The sequence below is a fragment of the Homo sapiens genome, chromosome 18 (genome assembly GCF_000001405.40).
Source record: "Homo sapiens chromosome 18, GRCh38.p14 Primary Assembly".
NCBI classification, from domain to species: Eukaryota; Metazoa; Chordata; class Mammalia; order Primates; family Hominidae; genus Homo; species Homo sapiens.
This window is the reverse complement of record NC_000018.10, coordinates 69,035,129-69,059,457: the sequence shown is the minus strand read 5'-3', so window position 1 is coordinate 69,059,457 and position 24,329 is coordinate 69,035,129. Positions and strand designations below refer to the sequence as shown.

The following is a 24,329-nucleotide window of genomic DNA, read 5'->3' as shown; positions in this document are numbered from 1 at the left end:
CTGTCAAAGTACCAATATCATTATTCGCATAAATAGAAGAAAAAACCTCTAAAATTCATATGGAAACAAAAAAGAGCCCAAATAGCCAAAGCAATCGTAAGTAAATAGAACAAAGCTGGAGGCATCACATTAATGGACTTTAAGCTATACTATAAAGCTAGAGTAACCAAAACAGTATGGTACTAACACAAAAACAGACTCATGGGTCAATTCAACAGATTAGAGAACCCAAAAATATAGCCATAAATATACAATCATCTCATCTTTGACAAAGTCAACAATAACAAGCAATGGGGGAAGTAATCCACATTCAACAAATGATGCTGGGATAACTGGCTAGCCATATGCAAAAGAATAAAGCTGGATCCCTACATTTTACCATATAAAAAAATTAACCCAAGTTGAATTATAGACTTAAATGGAAGACCTCAAATATAGGAACCCTAGAAGAAAACCTACGAAATGCAATTCTGGACATTGATCTTGTAAAAAAAAATATATATGTATATTACTAAGTCCACAAAAGCAAGTGCAACAAAACTGAAACTGACAATAAGGACCTAATTAAACTAAGAAAATTCTGTAAAGTAAAAGAAACTATCAAGATAGTAAACAGATAACCTACAAAATGGGAGAAAATAGTCACAATCTATGCAACCAACAAAGGTCTTATAACCAGAATCTATAAGAAACAATTATATAAAACCAGCACAAACCAAATAACATTAAAATTGAGCAAATTAAAATTTGCTCAATTAAATGAGCAAATTACCTGAGTAGACTCTTCTCAAAAGAAGATATACACATAGCCAACAAATATGTATAAAAAATGATCAACATCAGTAATCATTAGATAAATGCAAATCACAACCTCAATGAGATACTATCTCACACAAGTTAGAATGGCTATTAAAAAGACTAAAAAAAAAAAAAAAAAAAGAAAAGAAAAAAGGTGTTGTTGGCAAGGCTGTAGAGCAGAGGGAACACTTATACCCAGCTGGTGGGAATGTAAATTAGTTCAGCTGCTGGAGAAAGCAGTTTGGATTCTTCTCAAAAAACTTAGAGCTGCTATTCAATCCAGCAATCTCATTTTTGGGTTATATACCCAAAGGAAAATACATTATCACACCAAAAAAGACACGTGCACCCGTATGTTAATTGAAGTACTATTTGCAACAGCAAAAGCGTGGAATCAACTCAGGTGCCCATCAATGGTAAATTGGATAAAGAAAATGTGGTACATACACACCATGGAATACTACACAGCCATAAGAACAGAACAAAAGCATGTCCTTTGCAGCAATATGGATGCAGCTGGAGGCCACTATCCTAAGCAAGTTAATGCAGGAACAGAAAACCAAATACCACCTGTTCTCACTTATGAGTGGGAACTAAATACTGAATACATGTGAATATAAAGATGAAAATAATAGCCACTGGGGACTATTAGAGCAGGGAGGGTGGGAGTTAGGTGAGGGTTGGAAAACGACCTTTAGCTGCTATGCTCATGAATTGGGTGATGAGATCATTCATATAGCAAACTTCAGCAATACACACCTTACCCATGTAATAAACGTGTACATGTACCCACTGAACCTAAAAGAAAAGCTGGGGAAAAATAACTTTCCATTAAATTTGAATTGTTTATCTGCAAGATGGGCATGGGTGGCAATGGGTATGAGGACTGAGGTCTTCTTTGAACCAGGACTTGCTGCACTGTGCCATTTGTGATAACTGGTTTGCAATAATGGATGCCAACAACTCCTAGCTGTTCCTATACATGCACGTGGCTACTTCCATAAAGCCATAGCATTAATGTCCTCTTGTCTTGAATCTGGAACGTCCCTATAACCTGCTCTAACCATTTGAATCTGAGGGAAGTAGCTGTCTGACTCCCCAGCAATCCTCCTGAAAGCCAATATCCACATGAAAAAGCTCAAGGCTGACTCCTGAGTATTGAGAGGTTACTTGGAACAAGGGAGAGGCCCAGCCAGCAGCTGTATTCCTCACCCCAGATGAGGTATCAGATAAGAGATTGAAGTCATCTTGGACATCCAGGACCCAGGAGATCTCCTAGTAAAATGCAGCTGCAAGAATCACCCCATGGGTTGAGTGGAAGCACTACCTAGCTAAACTCAGAAAACCAACAGAACAGTAGTAAGCAACACAAATATGTTTTAAGCTACTAAGTTTCAAGGTAATTTGTTTTGTAGCAGTAGATATCTGAAACAGAAATTGGTACCAGGAAATGCAGTGCTGCCATAACAAAAACATAAAATATGTAGTATTGGTTTACAAACCATGGACAAGTGGACAGTGAAAAGGCAGTGAGGGGATTCATGAAAGTAAAAGCTGTAAAAGTCACAGGGAAATTATTACTGGAGGCTGGACAAATAAAGGAAATTCTGACACATGCAACATGAATAAACCTTGAGGACATTATGCCAGGTGAAATAAGCCAGTAACAAAAATAAAATACTATATGATTCCATTTATATGAGGTATCTAAAGGAGAAATATTCCTAGAAAGGGGCTGAGAAGAGGAAAGATGGGGAGTTGTTTAATGGGCATAGAATTTTCAGCTTTCTGAGATGAAACATTTCTGGGTAATGGTAGCGTAACACTGGCTATACTTAACACTACTGACCTGTACACTTAGAAAGCGTAAGGTGGTAAACTTATGTGTTTTTCAGCACAATTACAATTTTTAAAAAATCTCTATTGATCGTCTGTCTGTCTCTATCTCTATCTAATGTATCTATCAATCTCTATCCTATCTATCTATCTATCTATCTATCTATCTATCTATCTATCTATCTATTATCTATCTATCTAAATTAACAGGCCTCTATTTCCCCAGCACACCATGGTAGGCAGGATGTCTGAGAAGAGAGTAATTCAGAAGGCAAAAAGGTCATTTATTCTGCAAAAAGGATGAGTAGGAGACAAGCAGAAACCTACAGGGTAAAGCTCAAATTCACGTCTACCCTCTTGGGAACCAGCAGCCATTTAACTAGCATAAAATGCAACCTCGAGTGACTCCAGCCAATATCACATACAGCAAAAGAACCACCATTTTGACCACAGCCAACTCACAGAATCTTGAATTATAGAAAATCATTGTTGTTTTCATTAAGTTTTGGCATTGATTGTTGCACACCAAGATACACCTGAAACAATATTTAGTTCCCAATATTTTGAAGGAAAATCACTGAAGCAAATATCTTTCTTAAGCCATTATCTGTACAAACCAAATGTTTACTATGCAACTTCAACTTTGAATCAAGATTAGTCTTCTTCCAGTATGTTCTTTCATAATCCTGTCCACTTAATCTATCACATCTCAACTTCGTCATCATTATGAGGATAATAATAATCTCCATTACATACGTGTTATGAAGATTAAACGAGTTAATATGCCTGATACATCTAGAAAATGCTTTGTTCATAGCAACCCTGGAAGGGGTAGTTATCAATATGTCTGTACTAAGATCACTGAGGAGCTGTCTCATTGGTCTATCACAATAGTGGAACTCTAGAATAGAAAAGAGAACATGATATAATGTGAGAGTATAAAAACCCATCCCTCGTGGGTTCTGAGATTGTCGGATGAGCAACCCTTTCAGAAAAGAGCCCCATTTTCCCCTTTATGTGTTTTTATCTAGAGATTGTGTTGTGTGCAAGAAACTATAGAAGTCTAATGTTGAGGGATGGTGGCAGGGAGATTTGTTTTCCACTTGCGTTTAGGATCTTGAGAGGAAGACGCCTTGCCAGTTGCCCCACACCCACTTGGGGCACAGCCACAGAAAAGCAGAGAAACATGGTCAGGCAAGGGGAACCCTAATATTTAGCTTCTCCAAACTGTATTTGGTTCTCATATGGGATTGTGACTGAGATGAGACCTTGACCTGCGGCCCATCCTCAAGGCTCCATCTGGATGAATTGCTCAGTCAGTTGGTTGACAGGGGATATGATGGGATAGAGGAGGTCATACCAGAAAGCACTGAGATGGATCCAGTTCACAGGAGGAGTGTTAAGCAAAGAGAAGGAAGTTCACATTTAAGCATCAGAACCCAGCAAGAGTACCCAGCGACAAGATAGATTTCATTACTACACAGCCTAGCAAACACACACCAGTGCGCACTTGAAGATCGGGCCTCTTTGCCCCTCAGTGCTGCGTTCCTATTAGTCATACAATCCCCCATGTTTGGGAGAGAAACAGGGAAAAAGTGAAGACTCAGTGAATGACAAAGGCTTTTACAATGAGAGACTCTGATAAAAGTGGTCTTTATTCAATAATGAATTAGTAAGATTTCATTTTTTTTTGGCTAATCAATGGAGGGGGAGATGAGTAAAACCAGTATGTTATTGACTGAGTTAAATCTTACAAGTTGCCTTCAGTTGAAAATAGGTATGGAAAATTATAAGTGTCTTTTTGTTCAAAATAACATTTTACCTTAAAAACTAAACTTAAATATGAAGCAATAAACTATAATGTACATAAAAGTTTTAAAGAAATATTCACATAACCACAATTTCCTAATTTTCTCTATTCCCACTACTCAGAGGGAAACCACAGCTTAATTTTGGCCTGATTTCTACCTAGATGCTACTTTGCAATGCTGATGCCTTTCCATGATTTTACTGTAGAAATGTCTATCCAGATAAAAGTCAAAAGTCCTTTTAGTTTCTCAGCGATGCTTACAGCCTGTCTTAGATTCAATCACTGGTTATCTGTTACTTTAAAATACAAAACACTTTTTTCTGATTCATCTGCTCACTTCTGTTTTATACAAAGATTAGAAATGACTTATAAAATTATATAAGAAATGTATTGTTACACCTCTAGAATGATTCATTTTTGTTAATACAACCTGCCATCCCCACCACATAGACAACACGTACATAAAAGTTTACCAATTATTTAAACAAACCAGTACTTTATACTTAAAGTCAATGGTTTTCTTATTAATGACCCAGCGTCTTGTATGGTTTTCAACTTACTTTTTCTTACCGATATTATAACTCTTTCAGATTTTATGTAAAAAGTATTCTGAAAGCCCTTTTTGACTTTCAAAATATTTACACATCTTAGAATTAAAGTTGTTTTTAAATGACATTTAAATTGTCTTTTTGAGAATATGCAGTATCTGTTAGGCAAAAATTAGAAGAAGTGAAGAAGCCCATTAATTTGTGTATTGTCTACGTTTTTTTCATTAATATTTCTAGTTAATAAAAACAATTTTACTGATATTTAAGAAAAGGATATGGAAATGTCTTTAAGGCCCTAATCTTTAATTCAGCATATTTTGTGAAAAAATTACCAGTTTTGCAAGTGCCTGAGTTCAGTCTCTAAGTTTTCATTTCTTTCTTTCTCTTCATCCAGAGACCTCTGGAGCTTACGGATCTGATTCAGGGAATCATCAAGCTGAAAGCGAAGTAGAAAATGCTTTAGTTAGGTTCAAGTGTTCTATAGTACATCATGGTGGCTATAGTAAATAACATCTTATCATATTCTTAAAAATTGCTAAGAGAATAGATTGTAAGTATTCTCACCACAAAACTATAAGTATTTGAAATAGTACATATATTAAGTAGCTTGATTAGCTAGTCTACAATGTACACATTTAGAAAAACATCATGTTGTATATCATAAATATGTACAAATTTTACTTGTCAATTTAAAAATAAAATTTAAATTGAAAAACATGAGGATCCATTCTATATAAGACACAGCTTTCTATCTCCATCTTAATAAGAAAAGCTCTTAATGAAAAAAAAAAGTAGTTGAAATAAAGTAACTCTTTAAAAACAAGGTATATGTTTGTATGACAGTAACTTACCAGTAGTGTATGTGTGAGTTTCTTTTGTATATGTGCATGAATAAATGAAAATATTCATTTATTTTAATAGAGTTAATGTACATATTCAGTAATAAACCTCAAAATGATCTCTGAAATATTTGACAAAATCCTTTCTATGTAGCCACTCTTCTCCCATTTCCCCTCTTGCCTCCCCTAGCTATAAGTCACTGAACTATAACTTGTGTTTTTTATTCCCATGGCTTTGAACAAAATACACGTGTATGTATACATATTCACATATACATATGCTAAGTGTATATATATATATATGTGAAATATATTTATATATATTATTGAAAATGTATCATTTTAATTGTTTTAATTAAAAAAGGTATTTCATGCTATATGTAATATTCTTGCTTTTTAAATCCAACAGCTAAGACTCATCTACAGTAATGTTTCATCTGTGGTCTCTTTGTCCTCTCTATTATAGCACTGCATTACTATGCCATGACATATATACCTACCCTCCTTTCCATGAGTATTTATATTGTCTCCAGCCCTGTGATGCTCTGAACATTCATATATACTGGGTCCCTTGATATCCACAGGAGATTGGTTCCAAGACCTTCTGCAGATTTCAAAATCCACATATGCTCAAGTCACTAATATAAAATGGGGTAGTATTTGCCACTAATCTATGCATATCCTCCTCTATATTTTAAATTATCTCTAGATTACTTATAATACCTAATACAGTATATAATATATATAAATGGTATATAACTAGTTGTTATATTGTGTTGTTTAGGGAATAATGACAAAAATCTGTACATGTTCAGTACAGATGCATTTTTAAAAAATATTTTTGATTAGTGGTTGATTGGTTGATTCCAATAATGTGGAATCCGTGGATATGGAGGGCCAACTGGGTAGATATATAGCAACGCACCGCACGACTTTCTGGTTAATAATGGATGCATACAAGGTAGTGGTCCCATAAGATTATAATGGAGCTATATAATGGAGTAGGCTATACCATCTAAATCTATGACCTTCACACAAAGATAAAATTACCTAATGATGATCTTTTCAGATTATATCCCTATTGTTGATACACACGTGCACACACACACTATGTATGTGTGTGTGTGTATAACAGACGATAGATAGATATAGATGTGATTCATCTGTGAAAAATTTTCTCTTGAGACATGGCTAGCAGTAGCATCACCAGATTATACTTGTTATGATACTAAATTTCTCAAGGTAATACCAAAATGTCTCCCAAAATTGTTTACCAATTTAACTCAATAATTAGAAGGGATCCAGTTTAATCACATTTTCATTAACTCTTGATGTGACATTTGAAAACTTTTGTCAATCCCTGATCAATAATTATGTATAATGTCTCTTTATATTTTTTATTAGATTAACATTTTTCTCATGTATGTTTATTCAGGCCTTTTGCTCATTACTCTATTTTGGCATTTTTCCATTTCTTTTTTTCTGTATATATTCATGTTATAATGTTCATACTATTCCTTTGTTGGTCATAAGAGTCCCAAGCATTTTTGGCAGGTTTATCATTTTTTTTTCATTTAAGAGATCTTTGGTTTAATCATAGTTATTTTTATTAAATTATGAAATATATCAATATTTTCTCCTACAGTTGGGACTTGTACTTCAACTATAGAAAAATGTTATTCTGTATTTTCACTATTTTTTTTTCATGTTTTACACTTGTCATTTATGTTCTTGATCAAGCAGGAGTTAATTTTACACATGACATGAGGTAGAAACCCAATTTTATTTTTTTCCTATACAAACACATTTTGAAAGGTACATAAGTGCAAATATTGAATAGACTTTTATCAATTGATCTGACATATCAAATCTGTCATATGTCAAAATTCTGTATATATGATGTATAAAGTTTCTTTTATAAAGTCTGATAGCAAACCCTTTTTTTGATAATTTATTTGATCCTGCACATTGTCTGAATTACTATAGCTTTCATTATAAAGTTTTACATACAATAGTAAAAGATCTCTTTTTCCCAGTTCTTTTTCCTCAGAAATACCTTGATTATTCTTGATTCTTTATAAATTTCAAAAACAACATAGCAAATTTCATGAAGAACTATATTTGTATTTAACCTGGAGTTTCATTAACTCTATGGGATAATTTAAGTATATTTGACATTATTTCAGTATTTAATGTTTTTGCCCAAAACACAGTGTATTTTAAATTTTACTTAGGTCATCCTTAAAGTCTCTCAACTAAATATTATAATTTTCTCCTTAGAAGCTTTGCAATTTCTTCTTAGGAGGTTTAATTTTATTAAATTTAGTTTTAGGAATTTTATATCTTATGACATTAAAAGTAATACTTTAAAGTTATTTTTCCAAAAAAATAAAATGTATTTTATAAGTTTTGTTGTATGTGTATAGTATAAATTGCCTTATTAGGCCAGGAAAAGAGGCTCACATCTATAATCTCTGCACTTTGGGAGGCTGAGGCAGAGGATTACTTGAGGCCAGAAGTTCAAGACCTGCCTGGACAATGTAGTGGGACCCCATTTCTTAAAGAAAACATAAAAATAGCCAGGCCTGGTGGCACGTGCCTGTAGTCTCAGCTACTTGGTAAGCTGAGGCAGGAAGATGGCTTGGGCCCAGGAGTTCAGGATTATGGTAAGCTATGATCATACCACTGTACACCAACCTGAGTGAAGAGCAAGACTCTGTCTCTAAAATAAATAGTCTTATTAATGGAACATTTGTTTTACTGAAACACCTAGGTAAACATTCCTTGATTTTCTAAAAATTAGCCTTTTTTTTCCTGATCGAAATAAGGTATTTTAAAATAAACTCCATTTTATTTGGAAATAGTTCTTTAAGCTTTGAAATCAATTAGGGTTCATATTACAGTTTTCCCATGTGTGTCTAAGAGCAAGTTTCATATCCACAGAGAGTTTAATACTCTCCATCTTTAAAATGGTTGCACTTATAGTCTTGTAATGAAGATGAAATAAGATAACATTTATAGATTGCATTATGTGGTACTGGACATGAAGCATTTAGCATACATTATCTAACCTAAACTTGTTTTATTAGAAGGACAATGAAAATTAATGTGAAATGTAATTATGGGTACTGCTATTGTAAGTGATTCTTGGCTATACAGTGAAGGCACTATCATGACTAGGAAAGTTAATGCAGTAAAATGAGCACTTAATATCTAAAGTGCAGAAGTCATCTTAAAGGCAGAATATCCCACAAGGCAAAAATAGAAAGAGCAACACTTAATCCAAGGTGATGACTAAGATGAAGCAGAAATGATAGATTCAGAAGGTTTTAGAAGTTTTCAACAAGGGTGATACGCGTGAGCATCTCATCTTATCGAAGTGCTATTTTGTCCTGTATACTCACAAATTGAAATTATATGCAAACATTGTGAGTTGAATTACAATGAATCTGTCTGTAATTTGCTCCTTCAACACTTGGCTCATAGACAATATCAAGGTTTTAGAAATGCAGATTTAAGGCCGTGCGCAGTGGCTCATGCCTATAATACCAACACTTTCAGAGGCCAAGGCAGGGGGATCACTTGAGTGAGGAGTTCCAGACTAGCCTAGTCAACATAGTGAAACCTTGCCTCTACTAAAAATACAAAAATTAGCCGGGCATGGTGGCGGGCACCTGTAATCCCAGCTACTCAGGAGGCTGAGGCAGGAGAATTGCTTGAACCAGGGAGGTGGAGGTTGCAGTGAGCCGAGATTGAGCCACTGCACTCCAGCCTGGGCAACATAGTGAGACTCCGTCTCAAAAAAAAAAATGCAATGAAAAGTTAAGCAATGGACCCTGACATACTCTGAATAAGCTGAGAGGTCTTGGCTTTGAACTGCTTTTTAGGAAAAAAATCCACAACAAAAAGTATCTTACTTGAGTACTATTAATTGTGTTTTTCTAGGTTAACCATTAAAATATTTTAAGAAGTGTTTTATTTGCTAAGTGGCCAGGTTGTTTTCTTCTTGGCCTTACTGGGGCTTCCATGGGGTGGGTCTGTGTGATTTTATTCTCCTCCCTTCCACACAGTAATTTTTAGCACCTTTATTCTTCCAATTGAATATTTTACAATGTTGGGGAATTTTCCACATATGCTCAGCTTCCAGACAAAAATCTTGCTTTTCCCTTGAAGTAGATTGCTAATCCTTAGCACTAGAGAATAAACCAATAATTTCAGTATTTATTAAAATTGCATGTTAAGAAAAAAAAAGGATGAATTCATGTCCTTTGCAGGGACATGGATGAAGCTGCAAACCATCATTCTCAGCAAACTAACACAGGAACAGAAAACCAAATACCACATGTTCTCACTCATAAGTTGGAGTTGAACAATGAGAACACATGGACACAGAGAGGGGAACATCACACAGCAGGGCCTGTCAGGGGGTAGGGGACTACGGGACGGATACCATTAGGAGAGATACCTAATGTAGATGACGGGTTGATGGGTGCAGCAAACCACCATAGCACGTGTATACCTATGTAACAAACCTACACGTTCTGCACATGTATCCCAGAACTTAAAGTATAATAAAAAAAAAAAGAAAGAAAATCTTAAAACCTTTGATGATGGTAACATACAGGAATTTCAGATTCTTTTAATGTTACATTTTTACCTAATATTTACAATGAAAAATATAATTCAATGAAAAAACCAAGAGTTTAAAAATAAATAAATAAAAATAAATAAAATTGCAAGAAATATCAATCCTCCTCTATACAAAGTCAAACCACTGCTAAAGATGAACCAGATCCCAAGTGATTGATCTCTATACCAGCGTTATTAAAGTGAAATCAAGTTAAATGTTAGAAAGAATTATATAGATTTAAGTTGTTACTCTTCCAAGGGGTATGGGGGAGGGGAGTTTTTTTTAAGCACCCTGATGGAGAAATGCTATTCTGTAAACTCTTCTCATCAAATATTTATGCTTACAGAATGAACATTTTGTTAATAATATCATAATGAACTCCCAAATAATATTTAGTCTTATTTCTGAATTTCAAACATTTGGACATTTTTCAGTAATACCCACATTTTGTTGCTATCTATAATTCCTAATTCATAGAGATGGCACAAGTTTACTTTCTTATCATAGAAGTTTCCCCTTGTATCAAACTCACACATATTTGTTGATTTCACTTTTCTTAGTTTCCATTTTCTATGGAGAAACCAGAATGTTCAACATTCATGCCTCATTAAAAATTTATTTTTAGAAAGATTTTCATTCTGTTATATAGGTTCAAGATTAAAAATACAATAATGTAATAGGCTAATAGTAATGTTTGACTAATATTATTCTGGACCCTCAACTTATTTTACATTTTCATCTTCTCACCTGTATACCTACTTGGGAAAAAAAAAACACACACACACACACTTATTTGGCATTACAGTGCCAGTACTTAGGACAGTTCCTAAATAATTTAATAGATGAATGAGAAATGTTTCTTTTAAACTTTTTCTTTGATTCATAAATTTTTAACTTCTGCTCTATTATTTTAGATTTTAGTATTTGAATATCAATGTGGGCTATGACATTTAGGAAGTTAACTTACAGGTATTATTAGATATTTAAGAAACATTTTAGTAGTTTGATAGGAATAGCATTTAATCTGTAAGTTGCTTTGGGCAGTATGGCCATTTATACAATATTGATTCTTCCTGTCCATGAACATGGAATTATTTTCCATTTGTTTTTGTCATATCTGATTTATTTGAGCAGTGTAACTCTCATTGTAGAGATATTTTACCTCCCTGGTTAGCTGTATTCCTAGGTATTCTATTCTTTTGGGGGCTATTGTGAATGGGACTACATTCCTTATATGACTCTAGGTTTAGATGTTGGTGTTTAAGAATGCTACTGATTACCGTACATTGATTTTGTATCCTGAAACTTTGCTGAAGTTGTTTATCAGATCAAGGAGATTTTGGGAACAGATGATGAGGTTTTTTTAGATATAGAATCACGTCATCTGCAAACAGGGATAGTCTCACATTCTCTCTTCCAATTTGGATGCGTTTTATTTCTCTCTTGCCTGATAGCTCTAGTCAGGGCTTCTCATACTATGTTGAATAGGAGTGGTGAGACAAGGCATCTTTATCTTGTACTGGTTATCACAGGGAATGCTTCCATCTTTTGCCCATTCAGTATAATGTTGGTTGTGGGTTTGTCTTAGATGGCTCTTATTATTTTGAAGTATGGTCCTTCAATGCCTAGTTTACTGAGGGTTTTTAAGATGAAGGGATATTGGATTTTATTGAAAGTGTTTTCTGTATCTATTGAGATAATCATGTGGTTTTTGTCTTCAGCTGTCTTTATGTGATGATTCACATTTATTGATTGCCATCCCAGGGATAAAGCCTACTTGATCATGATGCATTAGCTTTTTGATGCGATGGCAGATTCAGTTTGTGAGTATTTTGTTGAGGACTTTTTGCATCTATGTTCACTGAGCATATTGGCCTGAAGTTTTTGTTTGCTGTTGTTGTGTCTCTGCAAAAAGAGCCCAAATAGCCAAGGCAATTCTAAGCAAAAATAACAAAGCTGGAGGCATCACATTACCCAACTTCAAACTATACTACAAGGCTACAGTAACCAAAACAGCATGGTACTGATACAAAAATAGACACATAGACCAATGAAACAGAATAGAGATCCCAGAAATAATGACACATGCATATAACTATCTGATGTTCAACAAAGCTGACAAAAATGAGCAACGGGAAAAGGACTCTCTATTGAATAAATGGTGCTGGGATAACTGGCTAGCCATATGTGGAAGATTGAAACTGGACCCCTTCTTTATACCATATACAAAAATCAACTCAAGATGGATTATAAAGACTTAAATATAAAACCTAAAACTATAAAAGCCCTGGAATATAACCTAGGAAATACCATTCTGTACATAGGACCTGACAAATATTTCATGACAAAGATGCCAAAAGCAATTACAACAAAAGCAAAAATTGACAATTGGGATCTAATTAAAGTAAAGACCTTCTGAACAGCAAAATAAAGTATCATAAGGGTAAACAGACAACCTACAGAATAAGAGAAATTTTTTGCAAACCATCCATCTGACAAAGGTCTAATATCCAGAATGCTTAAGAACCTTAAAAAATTTACAAAAGGAAAACAAACACCATTAAAAAGTGGGCCGAGGATATGAACAGACAGTTCTCAAAAGAAGACATTCATGCATCCAATAAGCATATTATAAAATGCTCAGCCTAATTATTAGAGAAATGCAAATAAAAACCACAATGAGATACCATCTTATACCAGCCAGAATGGCTATTATTTATGAGTCAAAAAATAATAGATGCTGGCGAGGTTGCAGAGGATAGGGAATACTTATGCATTTTGGGTGGGAGTGTAAATTAGTTCAGCCATTCTGGGAAAGCAGTGTGGTGATTCCTCCAAATACTTAAAACAGAATTACCATTTGACCCAGCAATCCCATTGTTGGGTATATACTCAAAGTAGTATAAATCATTCTACCACAAAGACATAAGCATGCATATGTTCATTGCAGCACAATTCAAAATAGCAAAGACAATCAACTTATATGCCCATCAACAGTAGACTAAAGAAAATGTGGTACACGTACACCATGGGACACTATGCAGCTATAAAAAAGAATGAGTTTATGTTCTTTGCAGCAACATAGATTGTGCTAGAGGTCATTATTCTAAGCAAACGAACACAGAAACAGAAAACCAAATACCACATGTTCTCACACATAAGTGGGAGCTAAACAACAAGAGCACATGGACACAAAGAGGAGAACAACAGACACTGGGACCTACTTGAGGGTGGAGGGTGGAAGGAGGGAGAGGAACAGAAAAAATACCTATTGTATTGGGTGCTATGCTTATTATCTGGGTGATGAAGTAATCTGTACACCATGCCCCTGTGACATGCAGTTTACCTATGTAAGAAACCTGCACATGTACCATTAAACCTAAAATAAAAGTAAAAAATAAAAAGGAAATATTTTGGTCCAACTATTAAAGACATTGGAGTTTGAATACAGTATGATACTTTAAGTAAAATTTATTTTTAAAATGTAAAATTAATTTAAAATGATTCCTCAGTATTTCTGTTTTTGCATTAAGAATGTGTATTTATGAACAGCCTAATGATTATTTAGTAAAGAACATAGTTATAATACATTTAAAACCATAATTTTGAGAGTATTTTATCACAGAAGGAAATGATTAACATGTTAATAATTTGTTTATTACATGTTTTATTCACTAGAAAAGTTTGTTTGTATTCATTTTATCATAATCATTATATTTTTGTTGTCATTTGTCATGTTTTGATATATTGAATGCTTCATGAATAATTTACTATTGATACGTTTTAGGAACTGAATTGTGTTCCCTCCAATTCAATATGTGAATTCAAAATTCACATATTGAAGCATTAAATCCTAATGTGACTCTACCTGGAAGTAGAGTAAGAAGGTAATTAAGGCTAAATGAAGTTGTAAGAGTGGGGCCCTACTCCAGTAGGGTATTCAAATAAGAAGAGAAAGAGATCACAGGAGCGCACACACAACAAGAAAAGGTGATGCAAGGTCTCAGCAAGAAGGCGGCCATCTGCAAACCAAGAAAAGGGGCCTCATGAGAAACCAACCTGGCTGATACTTTGAGATTCTGAACGTACAGCCTCCAGAAATGTGAAAAAATAAATTCCTGTTGTTTAAGCTACTCAATTTGTGGTATTTCGTTATGGCAGCCCATGCTGCCTCATACAATATATACAAAGTAAAACAGAATAATTTACAGAGATTCATTGACATTTAAGGAAGAGATCCCAAACGTGGTTCCCAACTGTTACTGTTCCTTTGGTTTGCATGTGTAAACAGTCATGAAGTCACGTGAGCTTCAGTTTCCTCATTTTAAAAAGGAAATAATAATGTTAAACTATCTCACACAGCGGAGGTAAATTAACTATTAAAATCTTAAGGAAGCTCTCTATAAATATCAAAACATAGAAATAATGGTCCTCAGCATAGCTGTCTTCCTTCAATCAGTCTTTCTCAGAGTTATTCATTTCAAATATCTCATATTGCCTTCTCTAGAGGGAAAATACTTACTGAATTTGGCAAATGTACAGGGTTTCCCAGGAGAACTATTACATGAATTTGTCATTTTAGAAGACAATAAATATTGAGAGCACACTATGCCTTTGGCACAGTTTTCAATGCTTTCATTTAATCTGCACAATGGTCCTGCGGTTAAGAACCAAAGTTACTGTGGCAAAATGAGAATATTGTATTAATTGTTTTTGGAAGCAATGTTCATTAGAAGTAGAATCATGGCTCATTAGCATTTGAACCAGACAGATTCCACAACCTCAAACTCTTAACCTCTATTCTACTGTCAGTAGGATGTCTTGCTTTATGACAGGTAAAAAGATTTCCATTCAATTATAGAGATAGATTTTTACCATTAAATCATTCTTTCAATGTAGTGTTGGTAATGTATTTTTTGCTTTGGTTTTGGTTTGGTTTTGTTTGTTCTTTTTAAAAAACTGGCCACATACTAAATGCAATAGCTGGGAATGTTTTTAAAAAATCACTTTCTTGGACCCCTTACCAGACATTCTGAACTAAAATTTCAGGGGCAGTTCTCATGCAATTTATTTCCACTTCCTTCACGTGATGCTGTGCTTATAAAATCTGAAAACAACTGGGATGTATTGTAGAACTTTTTAGAAAACTCTTTCAGGCTTAATTAGGGATAGGAACTGTGGGGAAAAGCAAGAGAGATCAGATTGTTACTGTGTCTGTATAGAAAGAAGTAGACATAGGAGACTCCATTTTATTCTGTACTAAGAAAAATTCTTCTGCCTTGAGATTCTGTTAATCTATGACCTTACCCCCAACCCTGTGCTCTCTGAAACATGTGCTGTGTCAAACTCAGGGTTAAATGGATTAAGGGCGGTGCAAGATGTGCTTTGTTAAACAAAGGCTTGAAGGCAGCATGCTCCTTAAGAGTCATCACCACTCCCTAATCTCAAGTACCCAGGGACACAAACACTGAGGAAGGCCGCAGGGACCTCTGCCTAGGAAAGCCAGGTATTGTCCAAGGTTTCTCCCCATGTGATAGTCTGAAATATGGTCTCGTGGGAAGGGAAAGACCTGACCGTCCCCAAGCCCGACACCCATAAAGGGTCTGTGCTGAGGAGGATTAGTATAAGAGGAAGGCATGCCTCTTGCACTTGAGACAAGAGGAAGGCATCTGTCTCCTGCCCGTCCCTGGGCAATGGAATGTCTCCGTATAAAACCCAATTGTACGTTCCATCTACTGAGATAGGGAAAAACCTCCTTAGGGCTGGAGGTGGGACATGTGGGCAGCAATACTGCTTTGTAAAGCATTGAGATGTTTATGTGTATGCATATCTAAAAGCACAGCACTTAATCCTTTACCTTGTCTATGATGCAAAGACCTTTGTTCACATGTTTGTCTGCTGACCCTCTCCCCACTATTGTCTTGTGACCCTGACACATCCCCCTCTTGGAGAAACACCCACGAATGATCAATAAATACTAAGGGAACTCAGAGGCTGGCGGGATCCTCCATATGCTGAACGCTGGTTCCCCGGGTCCACTTATTTCTTTCTCTATACTTTGTCTCTGTGTCTTTTTCTTTTCCAAGTCTCTCGTTCCACCTTATGAGAAACACCCACAGGTGTGGAGGGGCAACCCACCCCTTCAAGGAACAGCATTTCCAAATCATTGCCACACATACATTATTTTCAAGCTATGCTTTTCAAATCTCTTTCAAAAGTTTATTTTCATAAATATTACTTGTCATATTTCTTTTCAGAATAAACTCCCTACACTCAAACCCTGAAAATAATTCAGTAGATCTGTGGCCCAGTGTCTAAAGGAGTGGAGATTATTACAGTAATCTAGAGTGACAGAAATGGTTATAATTACACACTTCTTAAGGGAATTCACGATTCAGGGTACTGAGGTACAGGGTGCTGAGTATTAAGATAATATAATTTCTTTTTAAAGATCACCACGATTTTGTTAGAGAAAAGTAGAGCAGGTAAAGCTGTTAGGAGATGAATGCTGCGGGTCCAGTGAGACATGGTGGTAGCTTTAAAGTGGTAGCCATGTAGATAAGACCAAATGAGCAGGTTTGAGGAAATATTGTTGCCAAATCTTCTCCAATTGTGATTTCACATTAGTGGCAGCTTTGAGGTATGAAACAGGCTGATTTAGCGATTAGAAATCTGAAGTTATCCCTTAAATTTTGCTTTCTTTAAAGTTTTTCATCTGCCAGTTTTGTTTGGTGCAATTTCATTCCTATATTGTAAATCTGAGTGTTTAATATGTAATTCAATAATTTATTGTAATATTATTTTATGATTTCCTTATTACGTGATTTTTGAAAAAGAGAACTTCCCAGTTTTTCCATGCTGCTCCTCCTTCATTCGTTCCACCCTTATTTTCGTTTCTTCTTTTCAAGCCTGGTTAGAAAATGTTCTATACCAAATGACTGATGGTAATTAATACAACTATGAATAAGTCAGAGGACACCCTTGCTGCCTTAGTTCTGACATTCAAATTGGGGTAGTAGGAAGGAGAGAGAAAAAAAGCAACAACAAAAAGCCCATAACTCAACAGGGTACTTTGTGATAAACTCCAAGGAAAAAATAAACACAATGATGTAACAGAAACTGACCACCTGGTTTGGAAAGGGCTGAATAACATCACAACTAGAAGAACTAGTGAAGCAAGAGCAAACCAACCCCAAAGCTAGCAAAACACAAGAAATAACCAAAATCAGAGCAATTGAGAAATGAAACACTATGCAAAAGGTCAATGAATCCAGGAGGTGGTTATTTGAAAAAATTCATAAGATAGACTGCTAGCTAGGCTACAAAAGAAAAAAAGAGAGAAATAAAGATATGTAAGCTGAAATTCTAATGGTCAGACTCCAGGCATGTAACAACCTGGGGGCATATAAAGGAGTTAGGGTTTTGTTCAAAGTTGAATGGAAGGGCTTTGGGCATTAAACCGGCCAATCATTTATAAGGAGTCCATAGGGGAAGCAGGAAGATGAAACAGTAAACTTTTGTAGAAATATAGGAAAAGATCATGGGAGCAGTAATCTAGAGTGATAGAAATGGTTATGTAATATAGCAGGCAAACCTGTATCCAATAAGTGTAGGTCATGTTAACCATAAGTGCAAGATACACTATCGGGGTAACTATAAGGGGAACTGGTAAAATTTATAAACAACCACATGTCAGCATAAACTTGATAAAGAATTATGAAAAACAGGACATCTGAGTAAGCTCAATGTAACTAATGCAAATTGAGTATCTGCTGTGTACTAAAAGTAGGATGATACATAGCAAGTGCTGCTTTGATTCTGTAATAAGAGATAAAATACACTTCAACTTTCTGACTGCTTACCTGCATGTATTAAACTCATTTTTTTTGCTCAATAATAAAATAGCCAATGCCATATTTATGAATTTGCATGTTCCTTTGGGCCTTGATTTCTTTTTACTCTAACACTCTAGCCTACTTCTCTCCTTTTTCTGACAGCAACAGTAATGGCAGGAACTTTCCAGGCATTTGCTTTTCCTCTTTCTTTTGCAGTCCAGCTGGGAGCTTCCTACCTGTGGGCTCTCATATGCCTCTTACCTCACCCAGGTTTAAAGAATTAGATTCAAAATGGTAAGAGAGGCTACTGATATTGATAACATTTATTTTTAATTTAACCTCTCAGAAACAGATTTTTTAAGTTTAATAACATAGCAACCAATCTTAAAAAACACAGAGATTAATTTTGTCACATTCATCTAAGTAAAAATAAGACAACTTCAATAGCCACATAGTCACAAAACGTTGACATATTTTAAACCCTGCTTATCAAACATACTTCTACTACAGAGTGATAAAATCAACAGATATGGTTGGAGGTAGAATGCATACCACTAAAGTAATCAACCGATTCAAGAATTTCTGTCAAATCTCTAGAGGATAGTTAATGAAAAATCTCAATAATCCTATTGCTTGATCTTGTTATTGACTAAACTGACATTTTAATACCATCAAATTGATCAAAACCTTAGCCACAGAGTCAAATTTAACACTGAGGAAGCCATCTCACACACACACACATACACACACACACACACACACACACACACACACACCCCTGCATCTAATCTAAATCTACATAGATATAATTTGTTTAATGTGCCTCAAGGATTCAAAAATAAAAATACAAGAAATAAATATTATATATAACTTTCACTCATGAGCTTTCATATAAAAATAAAATATTGGTTTAGTAGCGATAATGAAATGGATAATGCCACCAGGCACACCTAAAATGATGAATGATCATAAAATTAGGGATTAACTTTTCATAGGATCTGCAGTTGAAAAATAAACTTCAGTGTACATGTATCATTCCTCATGTAATAGATAAATTCATTTTATGGTCTGTTAAATAAGGGTACCTTATAAGCCTTTCCCCTGCCTCATAAAAGATCTAGGATTTATCTCATAGAGTAAATAAAGAAAATTTAGTCTAAGCAATATAATTTAACTGCAAAAGTAAAGTGTGGCTCATTCAGTATTTGAAGGAAATATTTTATACTATTTTACAATTGGAGAGTAGGAAAAAAATCCTTACTATTACATTACATAACATATAGTAATAATTCATTCTGTATTTTCCTCTAATTTCCTCTAATTTCCTGTAATTTCCTGTAAATTCCTCTAAATGTGAATTCTCAAAGATTTGTTTCTACTGCTAACAATTCTACAAAATAGAGACTGGAAGTAATAAATGGCAAAAATAAATTTATTAAACATTGCATAACTAAATTTCATTAAATAAAATGGAAGAGCAAATATATAATCATGCATTTTCTGGCCAGTTGAGACATTATAGCACATCAAAATATTGAAGAGGATATAAGAAAGTTTAGGTAATTTAACCAAACTGACACATATAATTAATAATAGTACAATCATCTAATCAAAATGTCAACCAATCTAAAATATCAATATAATAATATCTCATGGTACCAACAGTGATAGAAAATATTCAGAGATGCAGAAAACTTAGAATAGATGTTTATTTTAGTAAGTAACCTATGATAATAGCAAAATAACAATGCACACATGACCCAAATTAGTGAAATAATTACAACAATATTGGTATATCTGCATTAGAATAATATTCAAGAAACAAAATAACTTTGGAAAAAATGTTATACTTAACACTGTTAGATATAACTATATAATGTTAATTTAATAAAAGCAAGCTCTGCAACTGCACACAGAGTAGGATCTTAATATTAAAATAAATACATGCTGTTTTCCTATGGCATTCATTTTACTATCTCCAATGGAATACTCTAGATAGCTTTGTATCTTCAGTTAGATATTCTAGATCTAAAATCTAGAAAGTGACATTTTTGCGATGGAGATGACATATGGTTGCAACGTGGTAAGCACAGGAACCCCCCTGTTGCACTGTCTGAATGGTCCTTTAGTAACCAGTGATAAAAGGTGATAAAAATATGCGAGGGCTTTGCTAATGACAAGAGCAACTGATGAAAGGAAAAGATTAGTATTTAATAAAAATGTGTAGCCTAATCAAACATTGAGCCACTCGATAATGTTTAAGATTTATGGATATGCATTTATGAAATATCTGAAGAAATAATTGACTCTATTTTCCATTGAAGCAAGTTTTATATAATGCCTTTAATGCATATTTGTTAGGAATACAAAGATGATTTGGGGGAGAGTGTCTGTGTGTGAATGCTTGTGTATATTAATAAATATATAGAATATGTAAATCAGTTTGTAAATGCATTTATACACAAAAACACACTTGTATAGAGATGGATATGAAATATGTGACTTAATAGACATGGTTGGAAGGAAATAGTGTAAAAAGTTAGTGGAAATTATCACTGGCAGGAAGGATCCCTTATGGGTGCTTTACATTTTTATCTTTATGTTTGTATAGTTCATCTTTTAAAGAAGGTATGTATATTTTTGGTCAAGAAAAATGTTAATATCAAAATTATGAGAATGGTGGTAATATGAATTGGAGCACATTTTGGAAGGCATTTCTAAATCAAAGCCATACCAAAAGCCCTAAAATATTCATGTTTTATTCATTATGTATTGGAACGTATGACAAATAATATCAGAAACACACAAAACATTTTGCACAAATGTACTCCATTATGATCATGAAAAAGTCAAGTTAACCTAAATGGTTACTGAAAATATTATGTTTAATTATAGTCTGCAGACATTAAAATGGAACATTCTGCAGACATTAAAATGTTTATTTGGATTTCATGGCGCCATTTTATGCTATTTAAGTTGATTAAAAATCCTCACAATACTATGTATAATTTATGACATTTCTTGCAAAAAATTATTATATATAAAAATAAAAACAAAAATACCACAAAATAGTGATAGAGGTGGCTGTGATATTATTAATTATTCATTTGGTTGCTTAAACATTCTGATATTTTATAAATCTGTTTCAATCTCTTATAAAATTTACAATAAAAAATCAACATTTAATTTGAAGGATGTTTTAAAAGCAATGCAAAGTACCTGAGGTGTGATCAAGGCTTTTACAATCTCTCATCTGGTTTACCTCAAAGACCTAGGTGGGGTTATTGTGACCATTTAGTCTCACGTAACAAGTCCCGCAATAGCCCCCAGTGCTACAAATTAGACTCCGTACTCAGATTAACACAAAAAGCCTCATCCAATTTACTGTCTTCTCTCACCTTCTATCAGGGTGATCTGTTTTGTTATATTCTGAATTTTTCTATTTCTCTATACAAAACGAGGCTGATTTGTTATTGGCAGTGGTGTTTGTTTTACTCTTTCTCTTCCCTCATGCCTTTGCTCATGTTCTTTCTTCTTTTGTTAACCTTCTCATAAATCACCTGAGGATGCTGATACAATGAAAATAATGACTCAGTGAGTCTAGGTGGGGCTCAAAATTTTTGCATTTCAACCAGTCTCCAGGTGATACTGATGCTGCTTGTCCTTGGAACACACTTGGAAGAGAAGTCAGTACAATTGCCCTGGCCTGACAGATGTCGTTTTCATTAGACACTTTATTCTACCTCTTGTTGTCCTTTATCCTTGAACTTATAAAGCTAAATTATAATCAGCATTTTCTATTTCTGTCCCTCATAGACTGTGAGTCCCTTGATGTTTTTGCAACCATATATTCTAAATGTGATATACATGGGATGTGTGTGTGTATATGGATGTGTTTGTACATACGGATGTGTGGGTGCATATACACATCCACGACATCCACAGTGGGGTGTCTTTATAATCTGTCCAGCTTGGAATTTGGTTATGGTAATTAGGAATGATGGCAAAAATTCAGCTAAGTATCTGTTCACAAATTCCCTGAATGAAGCTCATGCAATGCAGAAACTTTGCAAAGAGTAATGTGTATGTGCGTGTATATATGTATGTATGTGTGTGTGTGTGTGTGTGTGTGTATATATACACCCCCACACATATATATACACATACACAACATACAACATACATAGCTTCATTGATATGCAGTGCACTGTCATATATCACCTGTTTTTCTCTATTTGATAACTTCAATCGAGGATGTGTACTGACTATTCCTTCTTCCCAAAATCTTCCTTTAACAGATATCTGAATGATTCAGTTTATCGTCTTTCATGCATTTAGTCAAAGCTTAGGCCAAACACCATATTTAATACTGCCACTTGTACCCAATGTAGAAATTTGGATATTTTCTAAGAGTTATATGATCTATATTTTAATGGCCTCTGTTTCTCTCCTTTGCATTTCACAATGCAAATCCCATGCAGCAGGGGTATTCATTTTATTCATGCATGTATTTCAAGAGCCTGGAATAGTGTTTGCTTGTTAAAAAAGAACAAATGAATGCTGGTTAGGCTAAAGCAACAGACGCCCTTCCACTGTTGTTAAAAGTCATTGCCAAGCAAGTAGGCTATAATTTGAAAATTTCTATATAAATAATTTCCTAAAGTTTAGGTATGCCAGATGAATCCAATTCAATATTTACTTTGTGTACAGAATAATTCCTTTGTTCCTATTGCTACTCTGGTAAGGCCCCAGGTCGTCTTGCTAAAATCTGGGTAGATTCCCAAAAATTTAGATCTCAAGTAAAACACATTTAAACCATATCTTAGAATCACATCAAACGGATAATATAACAAGGATTCGGCTATATTCTAAGTCTTCATAATTTGGGGACAATGATTTCAGCTAAAAAGATATTACAGTTATTAGAAAATAGTAATTTCTATCATGAAAAATAAAATATAACACAATAGAAATGGCTACAAAAGCCTGTTAGATGCTGCAGACTAAAGCAAGTACTTTCTTCCTCTTTTTATTGGTATATAAAACTTTAAATCCCAATGGAAGCAGTTGATAACCAATTTTAATACATCTTTCCATTAGCAATAGAACAGGACCAACTCCTGCCATGGAACTTGAAGTGACAAGTTGAGCATCGGGGATTCTGGCAAGTGTTTTTGGCCAATCTGCTCCAATTCTGCTCCAGGGCATCCACAGTGGGGTGTCCTTATAATCTATCCAGCTTGGAATTTGATTAGGGTAATGAGGAATGATGGCAAAATTTCAGCTAAGTTCCTGTTCACAAATTCCCCAAATGCACCTCATGCAATGCAGAACCTTTACAAGAAATAAGCATCCATGGCAATTTGCCAGTTTTGAATCATTAATACAGAGTAAATTTTGCCCAGATATTTATAATTGGAAGTGAAATATTCTGGTCCACTTTATTAAGGACTGTATGACAATGAACTCTCCATCTGGAAAAAAAACTTCAGTAAAACCAATAAAGACATTTTACTAAGACTTCTTGGTGATCTCAGGTAGAAAGCAGTTGTCTTTTGAGAAATTTGCTATGTATATAGCATTTGTTACATGATTCTACATGTATTTCAATGTCAGAATCAATTCCAGGTCCTCCAATATCACATCTTTTTACTGCCTATATGGAAACTATTAGATTATCGTAATTTTGTGAATCCAAAAACTTATAATGTCCTCTAGTTTTGTAACCCATGATGATGATTCTGATTTTCAAGAATCACTTAGGTAGTGTACCTAGTAACCTTCATTTTTCCAACAAAAACCATTGAATTTCACAGGATTTTCACATTTTCATGGAACTGCTTACTAAATATTTACCAAGTACCTTCCATTTAAATTAAGTAGCATCCTTGCCTACTGGACGATTGTTAAAATGTTTAAAAAATATTACACAAGCTATTGTTGGATAAATGAATTGCTAAAATCATTTATTGAACTTTGAGATCTATAAACAATAGTGTTTCTAATATGGTATACTAGTAATGCAATTGTTAT

General features: G+C 34.3%; 1 protein-coding gene across 8 annotated transcripts in view, besides 2 other annotated features; it reads right to left on the bottom strand.

The window, feature by feature from the left end:
* Positions 1-1,336: 1,336 nt before the first annotated feature.
* Positions 1,337-24,329, bottom strand: part of CCDC102B (coiled-coil domain containing 102B) — a 342,906-nt gene continuing 319,913 nt past the window's right edge. For 4 of the 8 annotated variants that reach the window (XM_047437804.1, XM_017025973.2, XM_047437805.1 and 1 more), the window contains 2 exons: positions 5,325-5,428; positions 1,338-2,087 (listed from right to left, as the gene is read on the bottom strand). In XM_047437804.1, coding sequence (XP_047293760.1) covers positions 2,042-2,087; positions 5,325-5,428 — 150 coding nt within the window. In that variant the 3' untranslated portion in view covers positions 1,338-2,041. Of the gene's footprint in view, positions 2,088-4,268; positions 5,429-24,329 lie in introns of those variants that run through there. The other 4 variants (NM_001093729.2, XM_047437806.1, NM_024781.3 and 1 more) reach the window with 2 other exon arrangements.
* Positions 20,624-20,793: an enhancer, noted in NCBI's record as "experimental_49336 CRE fragment used in MPRA reporter constructs". NCBI's record gives its function as "activates a minimal promoter by MPRAs in K562 erythroleukemia cells, with activity observed for the non-introgressed 18:66705987 variant allele {active_cell/tissue: K562}" and the evidence as "EXISTENCE:reporter gene assay evidence [ECO:0000049][PMID:34662402]".
* Positions 20,874-21,043: an enhancer, noted in NCBI's record as "experimental_49334 CRE fragment used in MPRA reporter constructs". NCBI's record gives its function as "activates a minimal promoter by MPRAs in K562 erythroleukemia cells, with activity observed for the non-introgressed 18:66705737 variant allele {active_cell/tissue: K562}" and the evidence as "EXISTENCE:reporter gene assay evidence [ECO:0000049][PMID:34662402]".